The sequence below is a fragment of the Homo sapiens genome, chromosome 3 (genome assembly GCF_000001405.40).
Source record: "Homo sapiens chromosome 3, GRCh38.p14 Primary Assembly".
NCBI classification, from domain to species: Eukaryota; Metazoa; Chordata; class Mammalia; order Primates; family Hominidae; genus Homo; species Homo sapiens.
In genome coordinates this window covers 51974978-51993256 of record NC_000003.12, presented here as the reverse complement: position 1 = coordinate 51993256, position 18279 = coordinate 51974978, and the positions used below count along the sequence as shown (strand labels likewise).

The following is an 18279-nucleotide window of genomic DNA, read 5'->3' as shown; positions in this document are numbered from 1 at the left end:
CACTACACCCGGCTAATTTTGTTTTTGTATTTTTAGTAGAGATGGGGTTTCACTGTGTTAGCCAGGATGGTCTTGATCTCCTGACCTTGTGATCTGCCTGCCTCGGCCTCCCAAAGTGCTGGGATTACAGGCGTGAGCCAGTGCTCCTGGCCCAAAGGGAGAAATCTTAAACATCCTCATGAGGTCTTAAAGCTTACTGCAAGGGAGGGGAAGGGGCCCCGCTGAGCAGCTCTGCACTCTGGCCTGAGGTGTCCCAGATTTGGGCTCTTTTGGTGCACCTGGTCAGCATCCACTGCTCTGGGCTATGTTAGTCCCCCAACAGCTAGGGACCCAGGAAGGCAGGTGGTAGTGGCACTGCCTTACTCCCGTGACTGGTTCTGACCCTTCTGTGCCCCTGGGTCAGCTGCTTCACATGGAGGTCTTTATCCTCAGCAGTCAGTGAAGAAAGTACTGAAGTAATAGTAAGCCTTTGTGGAGGCTGCCTATAGAAGGCACCACGTGGGCACTTCCTGGCCGCACTTAATCCTCAAAACCAGCCTTGGTCCAACCTCGGACACTTTAGAAACTCCTAAAGGGGTGCTGTTATGCTACAGCTGCAGGTGCAGCCCATGGCATGTGATCCCCTACTTCTGAAGTAGGTATTATGATTATCTTTGTTTCACGGGTGAGAAAATATTGAAGATAATGAACCTACGAAGGGGTGGGGGTAGCATTTGATCTAGGCAGTCCATGTGGGGCCCTAGGAGGTTTCAATTGCCCAACCAGAGCTGGGGCTGCTAGCTCTTGACTGTAATCCTGGAAGTCTCTGGGTGGCCAACTGCCCCTTGCCAAGGCATGACAGGTGGAGGTGGGTTTGAAAGGGAGCAAGAGCAGGTTCTGTGTTCTGAAGGTGGTTTGGCCCAGACAGGCCACCAGGTTGATGACTTCCAAAGTGAGGTCTCTGTGCTGGTGTCCTGGACATGGGGTGTGAAGGTTCTCCTTTCCCCAGCCATCCTGCCATGAAAAAGGAGTGATCCCTTTACCAAGTTCCGGTCTGAGGGGGGAGGCCAGGTCAGGGCTTCAGCTGGGCTTAAGGTTACAGCCAACTGCTACCCTCAGCCTCCAGCTTGTACATGGAACCTGCCTTGTGCTCAGGAAGCACAAATTCCCAGTTCTTGAGTTTCAACTCCTTCACCTCCAAGCTCTGTTGTCTGGGGCAAACTATATTAGTGGAACCTGTTTCTTTTTCCTTTTTTTTTGAGAGAGTCTCGCTCTGTCGCCCAGGCTGGTATGCAGTGGCGTGATCTCGGTTCACTGCAGCCTCCATCCCCTGGGTTCAAGCAATTCTCCAGAATCAGCCTCTTGACCACAGGCACATGGCACCATGCCTGGCTACTTTTTTTATATTTTCAGTAGAGAGGGGGTTTTGCCATGTTGCCCAAGCTGGTCTTGAACTCCTGAGCTTAGGCAATCCGCCTGCCTCAGCCTCCCACAGTGTTAGGATTACAGGCATGAGCAACCGCACCCGGCCAATGGAGCCTGTTCCTGCATCACTAGTGGGACCCGGCTTCCATCACAAGACTGCTGTAAGGGTTCAATGAAAAGCAAGCCAGTCTAGGCCGGGCGCGGTGGCTCACGCCTGTAATCCCAGTGTGTCCGGAATTGGGTTCTTGGTCTCACCGACTTCAATAATGAAGCTGCGGACCCTCATGGTGAGTGTTACAGCTCTTAAGGTGGCGTGTCTGGAGTTTGTTCCTTCTGATGTTCAGAGTTTTTTCCTTCTGGTGGGTTCGTGATCTCGCTGGCTTCAGGAGTGAAGCTGCAGACCTTGGTGGTGAGTGTTACAGCTCATAAAGGCAGTGTGGACCCAAAGAGCAAAAGAACAAAGCTTCCACGGTGGGGAAAGGGACCCCAGTGGGTTGCTCCTGCTGGCTCCGGCAGCCTGCTTTTATTCTCTTATCTGGCCCCACCCACATCCTGCTGATTGGTAGAGCCCAGTGGTCTGTTTTGACAGGGCGTTGATTGGTGCATTTACAATCCCTGAGCTAGACATAAAGGTTCTCCAAGGCCCCACCAGAGTAGCTAGATACAGAGTGTCCATTGGTGTATTCACAAACCCTGAGCTAGACACAGGGTGCTGATTGGTGTGTTTACAAACCTTGAGCTAGATACAGAATGCCGATTGGTGTATTTACAATCCCTGAGCTAGACATAAAGGTTCTCCACGTCCCCACCAGACTCAGGAGCCCAGCTGGCTTCACCCAGTGGATCCCGCACCGGGGCTGCAGGTGGAGCTGCCTGCCAGTCCTGCTCCGTGAGCCCGCACTCCTCAGCCCTTGGGTGGTGGATGGGACTGGGTGCCGTGGAGCGGGGGGCGGCGCTCATGGGGGAGGCTGGGGCCGCACGGGAGCCAGTGGAGGGGGTGGGAGGCTCAGGCATGGTGGGCTGCAGGTCCCAAACCCTGACCCGCGGGAAGGCAGCTAAGACCCGGTGAGAAATCGAGAGCAGCGCCGGTGGCCTGGCACTGCTGGGGGACCCAGTACACCCTCCGCAGCCACTGGCCCGGGTGCTAAGCCCCTCATTGCCCGGGGACGGCGGGGACGGCAGGGCCGGCCGGCTGCTCCGAGTGCGAGTGCGGGGCCCGCCAAACCCACGCCCACCCGGAACTCCAGCTGGCCCGCAAGCGCGGCGGGCAGCCCCGGTTCCCGCTCGCGCCTCTCCCTCCACACCTCCCTGCGAACTGAGGGAGCCGGCTCTGGCCTTGGCCAGCCCAGAAAGGGGTTCCTACAGTGCAGCGGTGGGCTGAAGGGCTCCTCAAGTGCCACCAAAGTGGGAGCCGAGGCAGAGGAGGCGGGGAGAGCGAGCGAGGGCTGTGAGGACTGCCAGCACGCTGTCACCTCTCACCAGCACTTTGGGAGGCCGAGGCAGGCGGATCCCCTGAGGTCAAGAGATCGAAATCATCCTGTTCAACGTGGTGAAACCGTCTCTACTAAAAATACAAAAATTAGCCGGCCGTGGTGGCACGCGCATGTAGTCCCAGCTACTTGGGAGGCTGAGGCAGGAGAATCCCTTGAACCTGGGAGGCGGAGGTGAAACCCCGTCTCTACTAAAAATACAAAAAGCTGGGCGTGGTGGCGGGGGCCTGTAGTCCCAACTACTCAGGAAACTGAGGCAGGAGAATGGCGTGAACCCAGGAAGCGGAGTTTGCAGTGAGCCGAGATCGCGCCACTGCACGCCAGCCTGGGCGACAGAGAAAGACTCCATCTCAAAAAAAAAAAAAAAAAAAAAAAAGCCAGTCAAGTCCTGGCTCCTTGTCAACTGTGAGCAGGAGTGATTGTTATTTCTATTAGTACTAAGCCTGCAGCCCAGAGCCAGGCTCTGGACTTCTGGCTACAACTAGAAACTTAAAAAATCCAACTATCCCACCCCAGCCCTGTCTCTCCTGCCCCATGCTCAGGGAAGTCAGAACAGGATAGAGCAGATCTGGCTAGATCAGGCTCTGCTACTGGGGCCATAGTTTACTCTTGGTACTACCTGGGGGTCCTAGCAAGGCTGAGATGAAAGCCCAGTTCCTGGGCCTCTGCACACACAGATCCAGGGTGCTGAGGCCTCTAAGATGAACTGACCTAGTCTACCAGGGACCCTGCCCCTCTGTGGCCCCTGCTGCCAACACAAGGGTGTACAGGTTTTGACAGGAGCCAGCAGTCACCGTTGGCCCTCTGCCTGCCCCTCATCTAGCAGGGGCCCAGCTGGTGCTATTCTGGTACTGTCTCAGGATCCCAGATGTACACCCAGGAAGATGGGAGTGGTTCCTGAGGTCCTTAGTATCCCTCTTTAATGGGAATGGAATCCCTGATAGGTCAGAACTAAGTATGGTGGCCACTCAAATAGGAACTGTGGCCCTTTCTTGCTAGGCACAGACATGGCTGGATGGTACTGAATGGGTGTGCTGTGTCAAGGGGCACAGAGCAGTGTGGGGTAGTGGGGAAGTGCTAACAGCCAGGCTCAGTTTCCTCATCTGTGAAATGGAGATGGTAACATGTCCCCAGGAAAAGGAAAATTCTTGCTCCACGAGTGTCCTTGTGTTAGTACTTCAGAGACAGCCCTGTCCATAGACTTTATTATTTGGAAGGGGGAAGAGGAGGTCCTTGGCACTGGTTGGGATGGAAGCCCCAGGGGCAAAGGTTTAGGAGTTCCAGGGCTCAGCTGTCACTGGGCAGGGCAGGCACACTGGCAAGGGCAGGCAGCAGGCGTGTATATATGTCCACCCCACGGAGGAACACAGCCTCATGCAGCCGTTCATCGTGGTCGTGCAGCAGCACAGGTGTGCGGTTCATGGGTGAGAAGCCTAGAGCTGGGACCCCCACCTGCAGGGGTGAGGAAGAGCCGTTAGGGAAAAGCCAGCACTCAGGCCCAGTCCACTGCCCAGGCACTATATGCAAGTGGCTCACCGCGCGGATATAGCGGTTGTCAGTGGCAGCAGGCATGATCTCAGGCTCCAGAGTGAGGTTCCTGTAGGAGAAAGAGCCTGATGAATGGGGAGGGAGAAAGCGAAGAATTGAAGGGGCAAAGGAAGGTGGGAAAGAGGTGGGAGAAGGAGGGAGAAGGGAGGGGGCAGCAGGAAGGAGAGGAGTAGGGGGCTGGGCTGTGAGGAGAGCTGGCCAGCGTGCTCACATATCCTTGCAGACCCGGCTAAAAGCTGCCCACCAAGGGTTTGAGTCATCAGTAGGTGTCACTTGGGGGTGCATCCACTTCTGAGGGACAGGAAGAATGGCAGGATCAGGACATGGGCCTGGGCATCTTGCCCTATTTCCCATAGAGTGGGCTGTGCCTAGTACATAACACCTCCCCACCCCCACTCCTTCACCTACCCAGACATCTGGGTAGCCAGTCCAGCCACAGGTCCTCTTTCAGCCCCTCAAATGTCCTAGGTCTGGGACCTTCCCACCCTCCGTCTACTTACCTCCTGTCCATCCTTCAGATCCTAGCCCAAGTGCCCCTTCCTCAAGATGGCTCCCCCAGACCTCTCAGACTAGTTGGATACTCCAGTTACAGGTTTTCAGAGTGCAAGGGGCCACCCTTTCCTGTACCACATGGGTTATATGAAAGTACGGCTGGGCGCAGTGGCTCATGCCTGTAATCCCAGCATTTTGCGAGGCCAAGGTGGGTGGATCACTTGAGGCCAGGAGTTCGAGACAAGCCTGGCCAACATGGTGAAACACTGTCTCTACTAAAAATGCAAAAATTAGCTGGGCGTGGTGGCAGGTGCCTGTAATCCCAACTACTCTGGAGGCTGAGGCACAAGAATTGCTTGAACCCGGGAGGCGGAGGTGAGCCGAGATTGTGCCACTGCACTGCAGCCTGGGTGACGGAGTGAGATTCTCTCAGAAAAAAGTAATATCACATAAATGTTTGATTTATATCTCCCCGTTTCACCATACAAGGGCATGAACTGTGCCTAATTTTACTCCCCACAGCATTCCCCAGCACCCACAGTGGCCTCTACAATGAATGCTTGTTGGAATAAAATGTGTCTGTCACAGATAAAGAAATGCCCAGACATATGCAGACACACCAAGCACACACTCCACTGTTGCACACTTGGGTCTCCCCCGGCTCCCACACTCTCCCATCACATGTCCCAAGTCCATACCTGAGCAAACTCTAGGGTGACCCCCTCGCCAGCTGCCTGGCACCAGCTCTGCAGCTGCTCCTCAAAAGCCTAAGAGAAGGGAGACGAGCTGATCCTTCAGGCTTTCCAGAGGCCTCTAGGACAAGACTGAGGACCCAGGATCCCTCCTCCAAACCCAGGTGGAGGTGGCACCTTGAAGTCCACATCCGGTGCCACACGGAAGTCAAAGCTGGCGCTCATGGTGGCAGGTATCACGTTATAGGCCACGCCACCCTCTAGCTTAGTCAGGTTCACGGAGGTCACGGACCCCTCTTTCAGGTGGGGGTTTGACTGCAGCCTGTGGTGTGGGGGCAGGGTAGCGGCAGCAACAGATAAAAGAGGTGGCTCAGACTCTATCCTCTGTGGTACCGCCTCCCAGAGCCACCCCACTGCCTCCCAGGCTGCCTCACCTCTGCCATTCCTTCTCCCGGAATGCCAGGATGGAGTTTACAACCTTGTGCTATGAGAATATGAGGTTAAATGGGACAGTGGCCTCAGGATAGAGCCTCCTGAACTCCCAGACTCCCTCCTGGGGTGCCACGTACCAGCTTCTCTGCTGCTGTGTCCTCCATGAAGCGTGAGGCATGGCCTGGCCTCCCAGTGCTGGTAACCCGCACCCCTGGGGAGGTGTAGGGGGAAGGCAGTGTCTTCAGCCTGAGGGGCTGGAGACACAATCAGCCTGGGGTGGGCCCAGGTCTCCCCCTCATTCCAGGCTCCTCTGGCAGGGTCCTGTCCCCACTCAGGGCCCGTAGCATACAGCTGGTTTCTGCCCATTCAGGGCTTGCCCTCAGAGAAGCTCAGATAGGAAAGAGCTGGGAGGTAGAGGCCCTGGGTTCAAGGCCTTCTCAGGCCTCAACTTTGCTGTGCAACCCTGCATAGGACCGTGCCCTTTCTGGCCTAGCCTCCCGCCTGTAGAGTGAGCCCTCCCTCCAAGCTCATACTTACACCAGGGACTCCGCTCACTATAAAAGACAGTGAAGGCATCAGTGGGATTGGCTATGCCTGAGGAGGGAAAGGGGGTTCAGAGGGTGGAGCAGCTCAGTCCCCACTAGCAGCCTCCTACTCCCTGCCTGGCTGCTCATTGGCTTGCCAACCTGCTCACCCTCATCCAGGGCAAAGCCTGCCCTCAGGGCGTGGAACTCAGGCCGCTGCACGAACAGCTCCATGCCTTGGTGACCCCCAACCTCCTCATCTGTAAAAGCAGCAGGGACGTGAGATGAGGAGGCTGCCCCGCCCCACCCTCCCCTTTCCCAAAGGTATCTGAGCCACTCCTACCAGGCACAAAGGTCATGTGGATGGTTCTGGGGAACCGGTGGCCCTCCACCTTCAGCCTCCTCACAGCTTCCAGGTACCTGAGGGGGCATAAGCCAGGTGCTGGGGGAGCCACCAGATGCGCAGGCTGGCCCCACAGGCAGGGCCAGCAGGCTGGAGTCCTGTGTCCTGGACTTTACCCTGCCACACCCTGATAGGGACTCCAGAAAGTCCCTGCCCCTCTCTGGTCTGAATCTCCCTATCCATGCAATGGTCATGGCAGTAGTTCCTGTCCAAGAGGTCACGGTGTTCCTTGGCCTTGAGTTTCTCCAATCACCCCCTCAGGTCCTGCTTCAATCCACTGGACCAGTGGGGACATTGTGGAGGAGTAGGAATGGAGGACACTCACTGGATGCTGACGCACTTCATGTCCTGGGCACCCCTGGCATAGATGTAGCCCTCAGAATCCTTGAAGGCCTCAAAGGGGTCGTGACTCCAATGTTCCTGGGGGCAGGGATGGGAAGAGGGGCCCAAACCCCAAATTTAGCCATTAATCCACTCTGGTCAACAGTGGCCCTGCCCTAGGAGCCCACCATAGGGTTGGAGTGACAGGTGGAGTGGTGGGAGAGGAAAGACGGGGGCTGAAGAAGGCAGCTGATTGCCATCCCCCATTGCTGTCTCCTGCTTCCCACCCCCCAGTCCCCACCCCACTCTGGCCCAGAACTTGCTGCTGGATGAAGGCTGCTTGAGTGGTGTAATGTCATAAGGATGTTGAGAGTTAGTGTCAGGACTGGGGCCAGGACCATGAGCAACTTGAGGTTGAATCCTGGGGTCTGCATCATGTCTGTCCCCAAGGCCTGCACTGCCCACCTCCCCAGCCCCTTACACACCTTGAAGACAGGCACCACATCCGTGTGGGAGTTGAGCAAGATGGAGGAGAGTGTAGGGTTGGTGCCTGGCCAGGTCAACACGGTCACCACATAGCCAGGTGCCACCTGGAGATGGTCAGGAGGGTAGGTGGTCTGAGCAGGGTGAGGAAGTGCCCAGGCCCACCTCCCTTCCCCGCTTAGGGCCCCAGGCTCACCTCTACTTTCTGACAGCCCAGGCCCAGCTGGCGGGCTGTCTCCTCAAAGAAAGCCACAGCAGCTCCTGGAGGCACAGAGTGTCTTGGGGCTGCTTCTGCCTACCCACAGCTTCCCACCAGCCCAGGCAGCCCGGAGAGTGGAGCATACCCAGAAATGGGCTGCTGCCTCCCCGACACACTCCATATCCCTCAGAGATGCTTGCATTTCCATCCCCAAGAAAGAAGATATTTTTGGCTACTCAGTGACCCTTTCTGGAAGTCCAGGGGGATGTCTGGACACAGGGTTGGAGGAAGGTGTTATCTTCCTTAAATATGGGAAACTATGGCACAGAGACATGAAGAGATTCACCCACCATCTCTCAGCTGATTAATCACAGAGGAGGAATTTGGACCCATGTACACAATTCCCAGCCACTAAGTTTTTTTTTTTTCTTTTCCTTTTTTTTTTTTTTTTTTTGAGACAGGGTCTCACTCTGTCACCAAGGCAGGAGTGAAGTGGTGCGATCTCGGCTCACTGCAGCCTCAACCTCCCAGGCTCAAGCGATCCTCCCACCTCAACCTCTGGAGTAGCTGGGACTACAGGTGTGCCACCATTCCTGACTAATTTTTGTATTTTTTCTGTAGAGACAGAGTCTTGCCATGTTGCTCAAGCTAGTCTTGAACTCCTGGGCCCAAGCAATCTGCCAGCCTCAACCTCCTGAAGTGCTGGGATAACAGGCAGGAGCCACCTCCCAGGCCCTAGCCACCAAGCTTGACTCCCTAAGGGCTGTGGCCTTTGTCCAGCCCCAGTGGGCTTCTGGAGGGCCTCTCCTTTCCCTGTGGCTGCCTCAGGCTTCCCCCACCACTCCTGCCCTGGAGAGTGAGGTGAAGTTTTTCTTTAACCAGCTGCCAGGAGTAACCTTGGTCAGCAGCAGAGTCTCTGGGGAAAGGGTTCCTCCCTAACCTGGAGGGGCTGCCTCAGTCTATTTACTTGGGGAATGGCTGGAGGGGTTGGGGAGCCATTTGGGACAGCAGAGTGGGGCTCAGCTGGGTGACAGGGGTTGGAGGCTGGTTTAGAGCACAGTCCCCGTCCCTTAGGCCCCGTCACAGGCTCTGGAACCACCGTCTTCTCACCATAGTCAGGCTTGGGCTGGACAGTGCGGATACGCAGGTACTGGCGGAAGAGCGTCACCGATGGGTGCTCCTCCTCGGGACCCTTGCTGGTCATGGCGCTGCGCGTGGTGAGCTGGGGGCAAAGTGAATGGCTAACTACCCCTCCAAGACCCTGGAAATGGTGAGCTCCTGCACACAGCCTGTCCCCACGGCGGCTCCCGGACTTCCCACAGGGGTAGGATACCGTGTTTCGGAGCCCCCATTAAGGAGCACCCATTCTGTTTCAGGCGCTGGGCTGTCTGCTTCCAGCACATTTCCTTATTTAATCCCCAAAAGAGCCCCATGAAGTTTGTGCTCAGAATGCCCACTTTACAGAGGAGAAAGCTGAGAGGCTCAGAGAGGTTCAAGGACAGCTCATAGAGTAGCTGAGCAAGGTTTGAACCCAGACTTGTACTCCCCCCGCCCTCCTAAAAAAAAAAAAAGGCAAAAACAAAAACAAAAAACAAACAAGAAAAACCCCAACGCCTCCCAGTTGCCCGGCTTTCAAGCCACGGAGCCCCAGTCCCTCTATCCCTCCCCAGGGCCCCCACCTCACTCTCCTGTCGCTGGGCTCACGCTCGCCTCTCAGCGCCCTTCCCTGACTGTGGCCTGGACTTAGGGTCCAGCGAGGTCGCCTGCGAGGTCGCAGGCTCAGGACCGCCCCGGTCCGCCCACCACGTGGCCGAGGCCGGATGTCGGGGCGGAGACCGAAGACCGTCAGTGAGGGCCGTCCCGGCGCCAGCGGCCGCGTCGGCGCGGATGTCCCCGCCCGCCTCTGGTTCGGGCCTCAGCGAGATTACTGGAGGATTAGATCCGGATCCCGTCCCCGGGCAGCGGCCGCCGCGGCCAGCGCCGCCCCGCGAGTTGCGAGCTCCGGGCTGGCCCTGCTCTGACAGGCTCGCCCCGCCCCACACGACACGCCTGCCACTCCTGCCCCCAGGTATGCGCCGGGAGCTCAGGACGGTCCCGTCCCCTAAGGGCGCCTCCTCCTTCAGCCCCCGGATAGGGCGGGAGGAAAGGGGGCCGCCCCGAGGCTCTCAAGATGCAGAGCTGCAAAGCCCTGGGCCTGCGCCCTCGCCCTCCTCGGCAAGTCTCCAACGGCTCCCCACTGCAGGCCTCAGCCCCTCGGGGAGGTCCTCCCTGACGCCTCAGCTCCACTTGTACTGAAGTTATTGGCCAATGTCTGTCTGCCCACACTGAACTCCAGGAGGCTGTGAGCTCCACTTCCTGCAAGGTTCTGCCCGGGGCCGTGCCGAGCCCGGACAGTGCCTAGAATGGGAATGAATGCATGGACAAGAGCACGTGTGACGGTTTAAGCGTGCCACTGCGTGTGCAGTCTATCAGTGGATATGATTGTGTATGTGACAGTGTGAGATGGTGGGTGGGTGTGATGAAGTCACTGTGAATGGATGTAATTGTGACCCTGGATGGACAGTGTGAGGAAACTGGCTCTTCTGCAGCCACCAGAGGGGGAGGCTAAACAGGCACAGGTGTACCACTGGCCCCCTGCAGGCCACAGCTGCAGTTGCCCACTTGTGCCCCAGCTGCCCTTTGTACTCCCAGCCAGGTCTGCCCTCTGCTCCAGGGGCTGAGTCAGCTTGGGGAAGGGTGAGGGACAAAGACTTCAATCTCTAGGCCAAGGAGGCACGCTGTGGGAAGGGTTCTGTCCCACCTTTCCTGAGGTTTAAGTCTTGGCTGCTCACACATAACATGGGGGCAAATGGACTTTAACTCATAACAATGCTGGATAATTCTTTATTTAGTTATTTTTTTGATACAGAGTCTCACTCTGTCATGCGGGCAAATAGATTTTAACTCACAACAATGCTGGCTAATTATTTACCTATTTATTCATGCGGGCAAATAGACTTTAACTCATAACAATGCTGGCTAATTATTTAGCTATTTATTTTTTTGAGATGGAGTCTCACTCTGCTGCCCAGGCTGGAGTGCAGTGGCTCCTTCTCGGCTCGCTGAAAACTCCGCCTCCTGGGTTCAAGTGATTCTCCTGCCTCAGCCTCCAGAGTAGCTGGGATTACAGGTGCGTGCCACCACGCTGGGCTAATTTTTGTATTTTTAGTAGAGACAGGGTTTGTCATGTTGGCCAGGGTGGTCTTGAACTCCTGACCTCAGGTGATCCACCCGCCTTGGCCTCCCAAGGTGCTGGGATTACAGATGTGAGCCACAGTGCCCAGCTAATGCTGGTTTTTTTTTTTTTTTTTTTTTTTTTTTTTTTTTTTTTTTTTGAGACGGAGTCTCACTCGCTTTGTCACCCAGGGTGGAGTGCAGTGGTGTGATCTCGGTCTTGGCTCACTGCAAGCTCCGCCTCCCGGGTTCACACCATTCTCCTGCCTCAGCCTACTGAGTAGCTGGGACTAAAGTCACCCGCCACCACGCTCGGCTAATTTTTTGTATTTTTAGTAGAGACGGGTTTTCACCGTGTTAGTCAGGATGGTCTCGATCTCCTGACCTCGTGATCCGCCTGCCTCGGCCTCCCAAAGTGCTGGGATTACAGGTGTGAGCCACTGCGCCCGGCCAATGCTGGCTAATTGTTAAATCGCGTTCCCCATACCCTCTAGGTTCCTGACTTCCTTGGCTTGGCTGTCCAGACCCTGGATTTCCCACCAATCCCTGTGGTCATGCAGCAGCAGTAATACACCCCGCCTCCCACCAGCAATTCCCCAGCCTTATGTGGCCAAGTACTCAGTTATCCAGACTCATTCAGTCCTATAACCACCCTCCAACCTAGGTGTTGCCATCATACCCGTTTTACAGATAAGGAAACTCAGGCACAGAGTGGTGAGGCCAGGCACTTAGGAAGTGGCGCATTCTTAGCCTTCTCAGACTGCTGGACATCCCCTCCAGCTCCCAGGCCCAAAGTAGTCCCAGACTTGCCTCCCACTCCCGTCTTTCCCACAGCACACCAGGAAACGGAACCTGTCACTTCCCAGGCAGGACAAATATGCTTTTTTATTGTGTCTGTGAGATGAAATGAGGAGTCCTGGCTGGGTCTGACCCTGGCCTCTGGCCTCCAATCCCAGAGGCTGTCTCCCTGGTTCAGGGAGGGTGGCGGTCCAGACTGTCCAAGCTCATGCCAGGCTGGGAGCTGGGAGTGGGTTAGTTCAAGGTAGATGGTCAAGGAAGGCAAGCAGGACAAGGTGGAAGTCTTGCGGCTTGTGGAGGTAACAGGCATGGCCTGCATTGCGTAGCTTCACCACAGAGTGGTTGGGCAGGTGGCGGAGCTGCCGCAGTGACTCTCGAGCCAGGATGTGGTCCAGCTCTCCATACAGGATAAGGGTTGGAGTCTGCAGGGCAAGGCAGGGGGCTGTGATCTTGGGGCCTGATGAGTTTCTGACCCCCAAGCCACTTCCTAGGAAGCCTTCCCCAACACCATCCAACTCTTCCATCCAAGGTCAGGGATAAGGCCATGTCCCTCCAAGTAAGACTTGAGTCCTGAACCCCCCCAAGCCACAGACAGGGTGCCAGGACCTTTGAGATCCTTCTCCCAGTACCTTCACAGCCCAGAATTGCTCCTGGGTGTAGTTCTGGGTGGAGGTGGGTGCGATGGGCACAAATCCATGTAGCTGGTGGTGGCCTCGCATCAGGAAGGGCAGGGCATAGTGGCCACTCAGCGAGGGGCTCACCAACACGGCATTCTGTACCTCCAGGTCCCGCAGCGCCCGCTCCAGCAGCGCTGCCCGCCCTGCCTCTGTGCTTGCCTCCTTTGAAGGTGCCGAGTTCCCAAAACCTAGGAACAGCAGCAGGTACCAGCTGAGGGGCACTGGGAAGGGGCACAGGACTTCCTGCCCACCACAGTGGGGGAAAAAGTTGGGGACCACTGGCACTGGCACACACTACCTAAAACTGCCCAGAAGCTATTTTCTGGTAATGTAATATGCCTGTTAGAAAAGCATATCTTGGCCGAGAGTGGTGGCTCACGCCTGTAATCCCAGCACTTTGGGAGGCCGAGGCGGGCAGATCACGAGGTTAGGAGATCGAGACCATCCTGGCTAACACGGTGAAACTCCGTCTCTACTAAAAATACAAAAAATTAGCCAGGCGAGGTGGCGGGCACCTGTAGTCCCAGCTACGCAGGAGGCTGAGGCAGGAGAATGGCATGAACCCCGGGGGGCGGAGCCTGCAGTGAGCCGAGATCATGCCACTGCACTCTAGCCTGGGCGACTGCGAGACTCTGTCTAAAAAAAAAATAAAATAAAATAAAAAATAAATAATACCCAGTGTTGGGGGAGACATGGGGAAATGGGCACTTTCATACATGACAGATGGGAAGATAAATCCATATAGTGTTTTTGGAGGGTGAGATAGTAGTTATCTAAATTTAAAAATGCATGTCCTGGCAGCTGGGCGCGGTGGCTCATGCCTGTAATCCCAGCACTTTGGGAGGCCGAGGTGGCGGATCATGAGGTCAGGAGTTTGAGACCAGCCTGACCAACATGGTGAAACCCTGTCTCTACTAAAAATACAAAAATTAGCCAGGCATGGTGGGGCGCACCTGTAATCCCAGCTACTCAGGAGACTGAGGCAGGAGAATCGCTTGAACCCAGAAGGCGGAGGTTGCAGTGAGCCGAGTACGAGCCACTGCACTCCAGCCAGGGTGACAGAGCGAGGCTCTGTCTCAAAAAAAAAAAAAACAAAAAACAAAAAAAGAAACAAACAAAAAAAAAACAAAACACAACACATCCTTTGGCCCATCAATTGTCCTCAGTAGCTACCCTAGAGAAATTATTGCTCACATGCTCAAAGAAGCATGCCCAAGGATGCTTTAGCTACTATATTGCTTGAGCACTCCGCCAGTAGAGGAATGGCTGAATAAAGCCTGTCCATCCCTCCTATGGGACACACTGCAGGGTTGACAACAAAGAGGGAGGTTTGTAGGGACCGGCATGATCCTTGAGACATGATGTAGGGGGAGAAAACCAAGCTACAGATGGATGTGCTAAGCAGACAGGATACCAATCATGTTTACAGCCCCCACTAGACAATCCTCTACATCGTCTGCATCTTTACATGTGGGAATACCCAGAACAGCGTGTGGCATCCCCTAAACTTCTTAGAGAGGGAGAGAAATGCGGCACCAGTCTCTCAGAGCTTTGCTATTTTTTAGTATTTTTTAATCCTCTATGACTCGACATTTTTTCATTTTTTTAATGACAAGAATGATAGCATAAATCATTTGTGTACTTAAAAACACAAAACCTATATGGTTTGCCATAGAAAGTACACTGCTTGGCCGGGCGCAGTGGCTCACACCTGTAATCCCAGCACTTGGGGAGGCCGAGGCAGGCGAATCACCTGAGGTCGGGAGTTCAGGACCAGCCTGGCCAGCATGGTGAAACCCTATCTCCACTAAAAATACAAAAATTAGCCAGGCGTGGTGGCAGTCACCTGTAATCTCAGCTACTGGGGAAGCGGAGGCAGGAGAATTGCTTGAACCCGGGAGGCGGAGGTTGCAGTGAGCCGAGATTGTGCCATTGTACTCTAGCCTGGGTGACAGAGCGAGACTCTGTTTCAAAAAATATATATAAATAAAATAAAAAAAAAGAAAGTATACTGCTTGTGAAGAGTTTTTATTTGCTCCATGACCTAGAATTCACACTGTAGTTTTCATAGTAGAAAATGAAAACACAGACTTTTTCATGGTGCCACCTTATGTTGTGACCTGCCACGGCCTGTCCAGACCCTAGGGTCCAGTTGCCTCCCAGCCACACTTAAGGCTTCCCTAGACAAAGGGGTGGGGGTGCTCACCTGGAAGGTCAAGGGCCACGGCCCGGTAGCCCCTCTGTGACAGTAGCTGCAGTGTGCCCAGCTGCTCCCACGTGTGAGAGTTAAAGGCCTTTCCATGAAGCAGCACCACCTCCACCCTGCAGGCACACAGGGGAATGTGTTTGCTGGGAACCTGGTGTAGCCCACCTTTCTTTATTCCTAGGCTTCTCCCATTGCCCTCCCAGGACCTGAGCACCCTGAGTATAATGGGGGTCCCACACAGGGACTCCCCTTGAGCCTAGTCCCTCCACTAGACCCTTGGAGCAGCACCTACCTGTGTGCCTGGTTGAGTGGGAGCACCTCGCGGTAAAAGATGGGCGAGTTGCCAGGGGTGAGACCAGCCAGGACTGTGACATTGGGGTCTCCCCAGAGGCAGGAAGTCTGCTCAGGGGGGCCTGGCAGCCCCACATACAGTAGGAGCATGAGCAGCAGACTCAGGCCCAGCAGGGCTACCTGGGACCGGCTCATGGAGGTCTGTACCACAGTCTGGAGAGGGAGAGGAGAGGGAAAAGAGGCTGGAACTGAGTCCCTACAAGGACCCTGGATCCCATCCCAAAACCCCACCCAGAGTCCCCAGCAGAGGAAGAGCTCCAGCCCTTGCCCTTTCCCTTGCTCTGGGCAAAGTTCTGGGAGTTCACACTCAACTACTCCACATGCCAGGGCAAGCGCTCAGATACCTCACAGTGTGAGGAGGTGCATCTGAGGTGTTCTCTGGCACACAGCATGCTCAGTGACCGCCACCATCATGGCATCAGCTGAAACCACTTCCGTTCATCAAGCGCTTATGACAGCAGGCCCTGAGTGTGGCACTTCACATACAAGGTTCTTTTCCACCAAGAATGCTGGGGAGCAGACGTGATTATAGGTCTCTTATAGGTGAGGAAATGGAGGCTCAGAGAGGTACATTCTCTTGCCCAAAGTGCCAAGTAGCAAGTGGGGGAATTGGGGTTTGAACCTAGGAATGGGCTTCTAACTACCAGGCCACACTCGGTTTGCCAAGGAGGAACCCGTGGAGCTGGGAGATGATGGATGAACTGGAGCCTTGCAGGTGGAAAAAGTGATGAGGGCTATCAAAGGAGAAAGACTGCGCGCAAAGGGACCTCCCACTTAAGGGCATGTTTGGAAATGGTTCTTTTAATCTCACTGCATTTAATACTGCTAAAATCAGAACGCGTTTTACAATCGCATTATAACTAAGGTCTAACCCAGCTGTTATGAAGAGGCTCACAGAGAATGTCTTGTAATAGAGGAAAATGCTGAGGAGTGAGGGGCTGCAGGGCCAGGGAGGAGCATGGTACACCCAGAAATGAAAAGCACAGTGTAGAGGTTGGAGAGATGAATGCCGCCTGCTACTCCCCATCCTACACACAGACAGCTTCTGGCCAAATGACTGCTTCGTGGACTCCTCCAATCTGGGGTCTCTGCCACCCCAGAGGACAGCCCTTAGGACCCAGGACTCAAACAGGACAGGCCTTTGAGACTGCCACTTCCTGACCTTGTGTCTTCAGTTTGTCAGTAAAATGGGATAACCTCGTGGCTGCCCTCCTAAGCTTCCTGTGAGATTTAGATAATACCGTGGACTGGATCAGGGCTGTCCCTGTCATTTCTTGGGCCTAGGATGAGCACGCCTGCTTCCTTCCAGGAGTCCAGCAAACACATCTTTATTTTATTTTTATTTTTCTGAGACGGAGTCTTGCTCTGTCGCCCAGGCTAGAGTGCAGTGGTACAATCTCGGCTCACTGCAACCTCCGCCTCCCGGGTTCAAGCAATTCTCCTGCCTCAGCCTCCCGAATAGTGGGATTACAGGCTCCCGCCACCGCGCCCGGCTAATTTTTGTATTTTTTAGTAGAGACAGGGTTTCACCATGTTGGCCAGGCTGTTCTCGAACTGCTGGCCTCGTGTTTCACCCGCCTCGGCCTCCCAGAGTGCTGGGATTACAGGCGTGAGCCACCGCGCCGGGCCAGCACATCTTTATTGAGTGCCAACTGGGCGCCTGCCCGAACTAGGAGCCGGGGGCCCGTCTTGGTTCCTATTCATCCCTCCGGGATGTTTTGGGGATGTTTCCTGAGCCCGCATCCCCAGGCTTCGGGGTCGGGGGGCTTGTGAGCCACAGCAGCAGCCGCCTTTCTGCTGTTTCTGGAAAACCAGGACCTAGTGGAGGAAGAGCGCGTTCCTCTTTTCTTCCAGACCACTAACAACCTCAGACGCGCGTCTCTAACTGGGCGTTAGTCCAGATTCCCACCGGGCGCGAGGGACATTTCCTTGCTGCCCACTCGGGGCGCCCCCGCGCTTCTCCAAAGCGGGAAGGGCGGGGCTTAGGCTGTTGCCTTGGCAACCGAGGGTGCCCGCAGTACTAGGAAATTGTAGTGGACCTGCAGCTGGCCGCCTGCGGGGGTTTGCGGGGGGCAGGGTAAACTGTGCCCGGGTTAGGTCATTGGAATATGCGTTGACAATGACACACAGGTGCACACACGCACAAATACGAGTCTTGCCCCCACACGCTTTTCTTTTGCACAAGCTATTCCCTGCATGTACATGCAGCCTCTTTGCACACACACTGGCCCGTGTGCAATTAATCCCTTGTAATGGTACCCTCTACATCACGCACACAGTCAGGCATCAGGAAGCCAGAGAGACTGATGGAGATGCACACTTTGAAAACCACAGGCTGATCCTCAGAAATACTCAAGCACGGTCATACACACAACCGTAAGACTACACATTCACACAAGAAAGGCACATGCACAGGAAAGCAGACACGCACACACACACAAACCCCCAGAAATGCACACACGCAGACAGGTAGACACATACCCTTAAAATCACACGCACACAGAAATACACTCGGAAGACATAACGCTGACACAAGCAGGCAGACATCAACGAACACACCCCCCCCCCAAAAATATAAGCGCGCAGAAACCCACTGACGGACACCATGCAGACACACAAGCGTACACATACACCCAGACCCCCAAGAACATATGCAGACCCTGCGCGCGCACACACATTACACGCGCGCACATGCACATTCGCGGCCCCAGCGTCTGCTTCTTCCGCGGGACTCTGCCCCGGGGCGCCGGGGCAAGGGGCGGGGTAAAGACGGCCCTCCCCTGGGCCACCGGCCGGCCTCCCTCCCCCGGGAGACTCACCGGGCCCAACGGGATGAGCGGGCGGGCCCCGCCCAGGCGGAACCAGCAGCCGCACAGCGCCCCGACCATGGCTGCCTCCGCAGCTCCGCGGGCCGCTCCGGCTCTAGGCGGCCAGGAGCGCGGCCATCTCGGCGCGCCTGCGCACTCCGCAGCCGCGGGCCTGCAACCCAGTTACCGAGTCGTCTGCGTGGAGGGGGTGCTGGGGGCAGAGCCCCAGCGCTCTCTGG

The 18279-nt window shown here is 55.6% G+C and overlaps 3 protein-coding genes across 7 annotated transcripts, besides 6 other annotated features; all 3 read right to left on the bottom strand.

Annotated features, from left to right (window-relative positions):
* Positions 1252–1924: an enhancer, noted in NCBI's record as "H3K27ac-H3K4me1 hESC enhancer chr3:52025349-52026021 (GRCh37/hg19 assembly coordinates)". NCBI's record gives its function as "activates a minimal SCP1, AML or CMV promoter by ChIP-STARR-seq in primed H9 embryonic stem cells {active_cell/tissue: H9 hESC(primed)}" and the evidence as "EXISTENCE:reporter gene assay evidence [ECO:0000049][PMID:30033119]".
* Positions 1925–2597: an enhancer, noted in NCBI's record as "H3K27ac-H3K4me1 hESC enhancer chr3:52024676-52025348 (GRCh37/hg19 assembly coordinates)". NCBI's record gives its function as "activates a minimal SCP1, AML or CMV promoter by ChIP-STARR-seq in primed H9 embryonic stem cells {active_cell/tissue: H9 hESC(primed)}" and the evidence as "EXISTENCE:reporter gene assay evidence [ECO:0000049][PMID:30033119]".
* Positions 4060–9722, bottom strand: ACY1 (aminoacylase 1). 5 transcript variants are annotated; one of them, NM_000666.3, is made up of 15 exons: positions 9668–9722; positions 9099–9210; positions 7986–8050; positions 7792–7896; positions 7311–7405; positions 6926–7002; positions 6753–6842; positions 6596–6652; positions 6196–6269; positions 6061–6110; positions 5804–5948; positions 5633–5701; positions 4654–4733; positions 4431–4491; positions 4060–4346 (listed from the first exon to the last, which is right to left on the bottom strand). In NM_000666.3, the coding sequence occupies exons 2-15, from the start codon at positions 9190–9192 to the stop codon at positions 4182–4184; spliced, it is 1227 nt and encodes a 408-aa protein (NP_000657.1). In that variant the 5' UTR covers positions 9193–9210; positions 9668–9722; the 3' UTR covers positions 4060–4181. The 5 variants fall into 5 exon arrangements, with proteins under 5 accessions (NP_000657.1, NP_001185824.1, NP_001185827.1 ...); NM_001198895.2 differs by having other exon boundaries at positions 9673–9722; NM_001198898.2 differs by lacking the exon at positions 7986–8050 and having other exon boundaries at positions 7792–7856.
* ABHD14A-ACY1 (ABHD14A-ACY1 readthrough) lies at positions 4060–18193 on the bottom strand. Its single transcript, NM_001316331.2, has 17 exons — positions 18053–18193; positions 15175–15386; positions 14883–14998; positions 9099–9210; positions 7986–8050; positions 7792–7896; positions 7311–7405; positions 6926–7002; positions 6753–6842; positions 6596–6652; positions 6196–6269; positions 6061–6110; positions 5804–5948; positions 5633–5701; positions 4654–4733; positions 4431–4491; positions 4060–4346 (listed from the first exon to the last, which is right to left on the bottom strand). Exons 2-17 carry the CDS (start codon positions 15308–15310, stop codon positions 4182–4184), a joined length of 1497 nt encoding a protein of 498 aa, NP_001303260.1. The 5' UTR covers positions 15311–15386; positions 18053–18193; the 3' UTR covers positions 4060–4181.
* Positions 9688–10137: a silencer, noted in NCBI's record as "silent region_14425". NCBI's record gives its function as "represses an Ori minimal core promoter by ATAC-STARR-seq in GM12878 lymphoblastoid cells {active_cell/tissue: GM12878}" and the evidence as "EXISTENCE:reporter gene assay evidence [ECO:0000049][PMID:35858748]".
* Positions 11591–12092: an enhancer, noted in NCBI's record as "H3K4me1 hESC enhancer chr3:52015181-52015682 (GRCh37/hg19 assembly coordinates)". NCBI's record gives its function as "activates a minimal SCP1, AML or CMV promoter by ChIP-STARR-seq in primed H9 embryonic stem cells {active_cell/tissue: H9 hESC(primed)}" and the evidence as "EXISTENCE:reporter gene assay evidence [ECO:0000049][PMID:30033119]".
* Positions 12061–18193, bottom strand: ABHD14A (abhydrolase domain containing 14A). Its single transcript, NM_015407.5, has 5 exons — positions 18053–18193; positions 15175–15386; positions 14883–14998; positions 12629–12864; positions 12061–12421 (listed from the first exon to the last, which is right to left on the bottom strand). The coding sequence occupies exons 1-5, from the start codon at positions 18119–18121 to the stop codon at positions 12239–12241; spliced, it is 816 nt and encodes a 271-aa protein (NP_056222.2). The 5' UTR covers positions 18122–18193; the 3' UTR covers positions 12061–12238.
* Positions 16990–17284: a silencer, noted in NCBI's record as "tiled region #207; HepG2 Repressive DNase unmatched - State 12:CtcfO, and K562 Repressive DNase unmatched - State 4:PromP". NCBI's record gives its function as "represses a minimal TATA promoter and a strong SV40 promoter by Sharpr-MPRA in HepG2 and K562 cells {active_cell/tissue: HepG2 | K562}" and the evidence as "EXISTENCE:reporter gene assay evidence [ECO:0000049][PMID:27701403]".
* Positions 17890–18269: a silencer, noted in NCBI's record as "silent region_14424". NCBI's record gives its function as "represses an Ori minimal core promoter by ATAC-STARR-seq in GM12878 lymphoblastoid cells {active_cell/tissue: GM12878}" and the evidence as "EXISTENCE:reporter gene assay evidence [ECO:0000049][PMID:35858748]".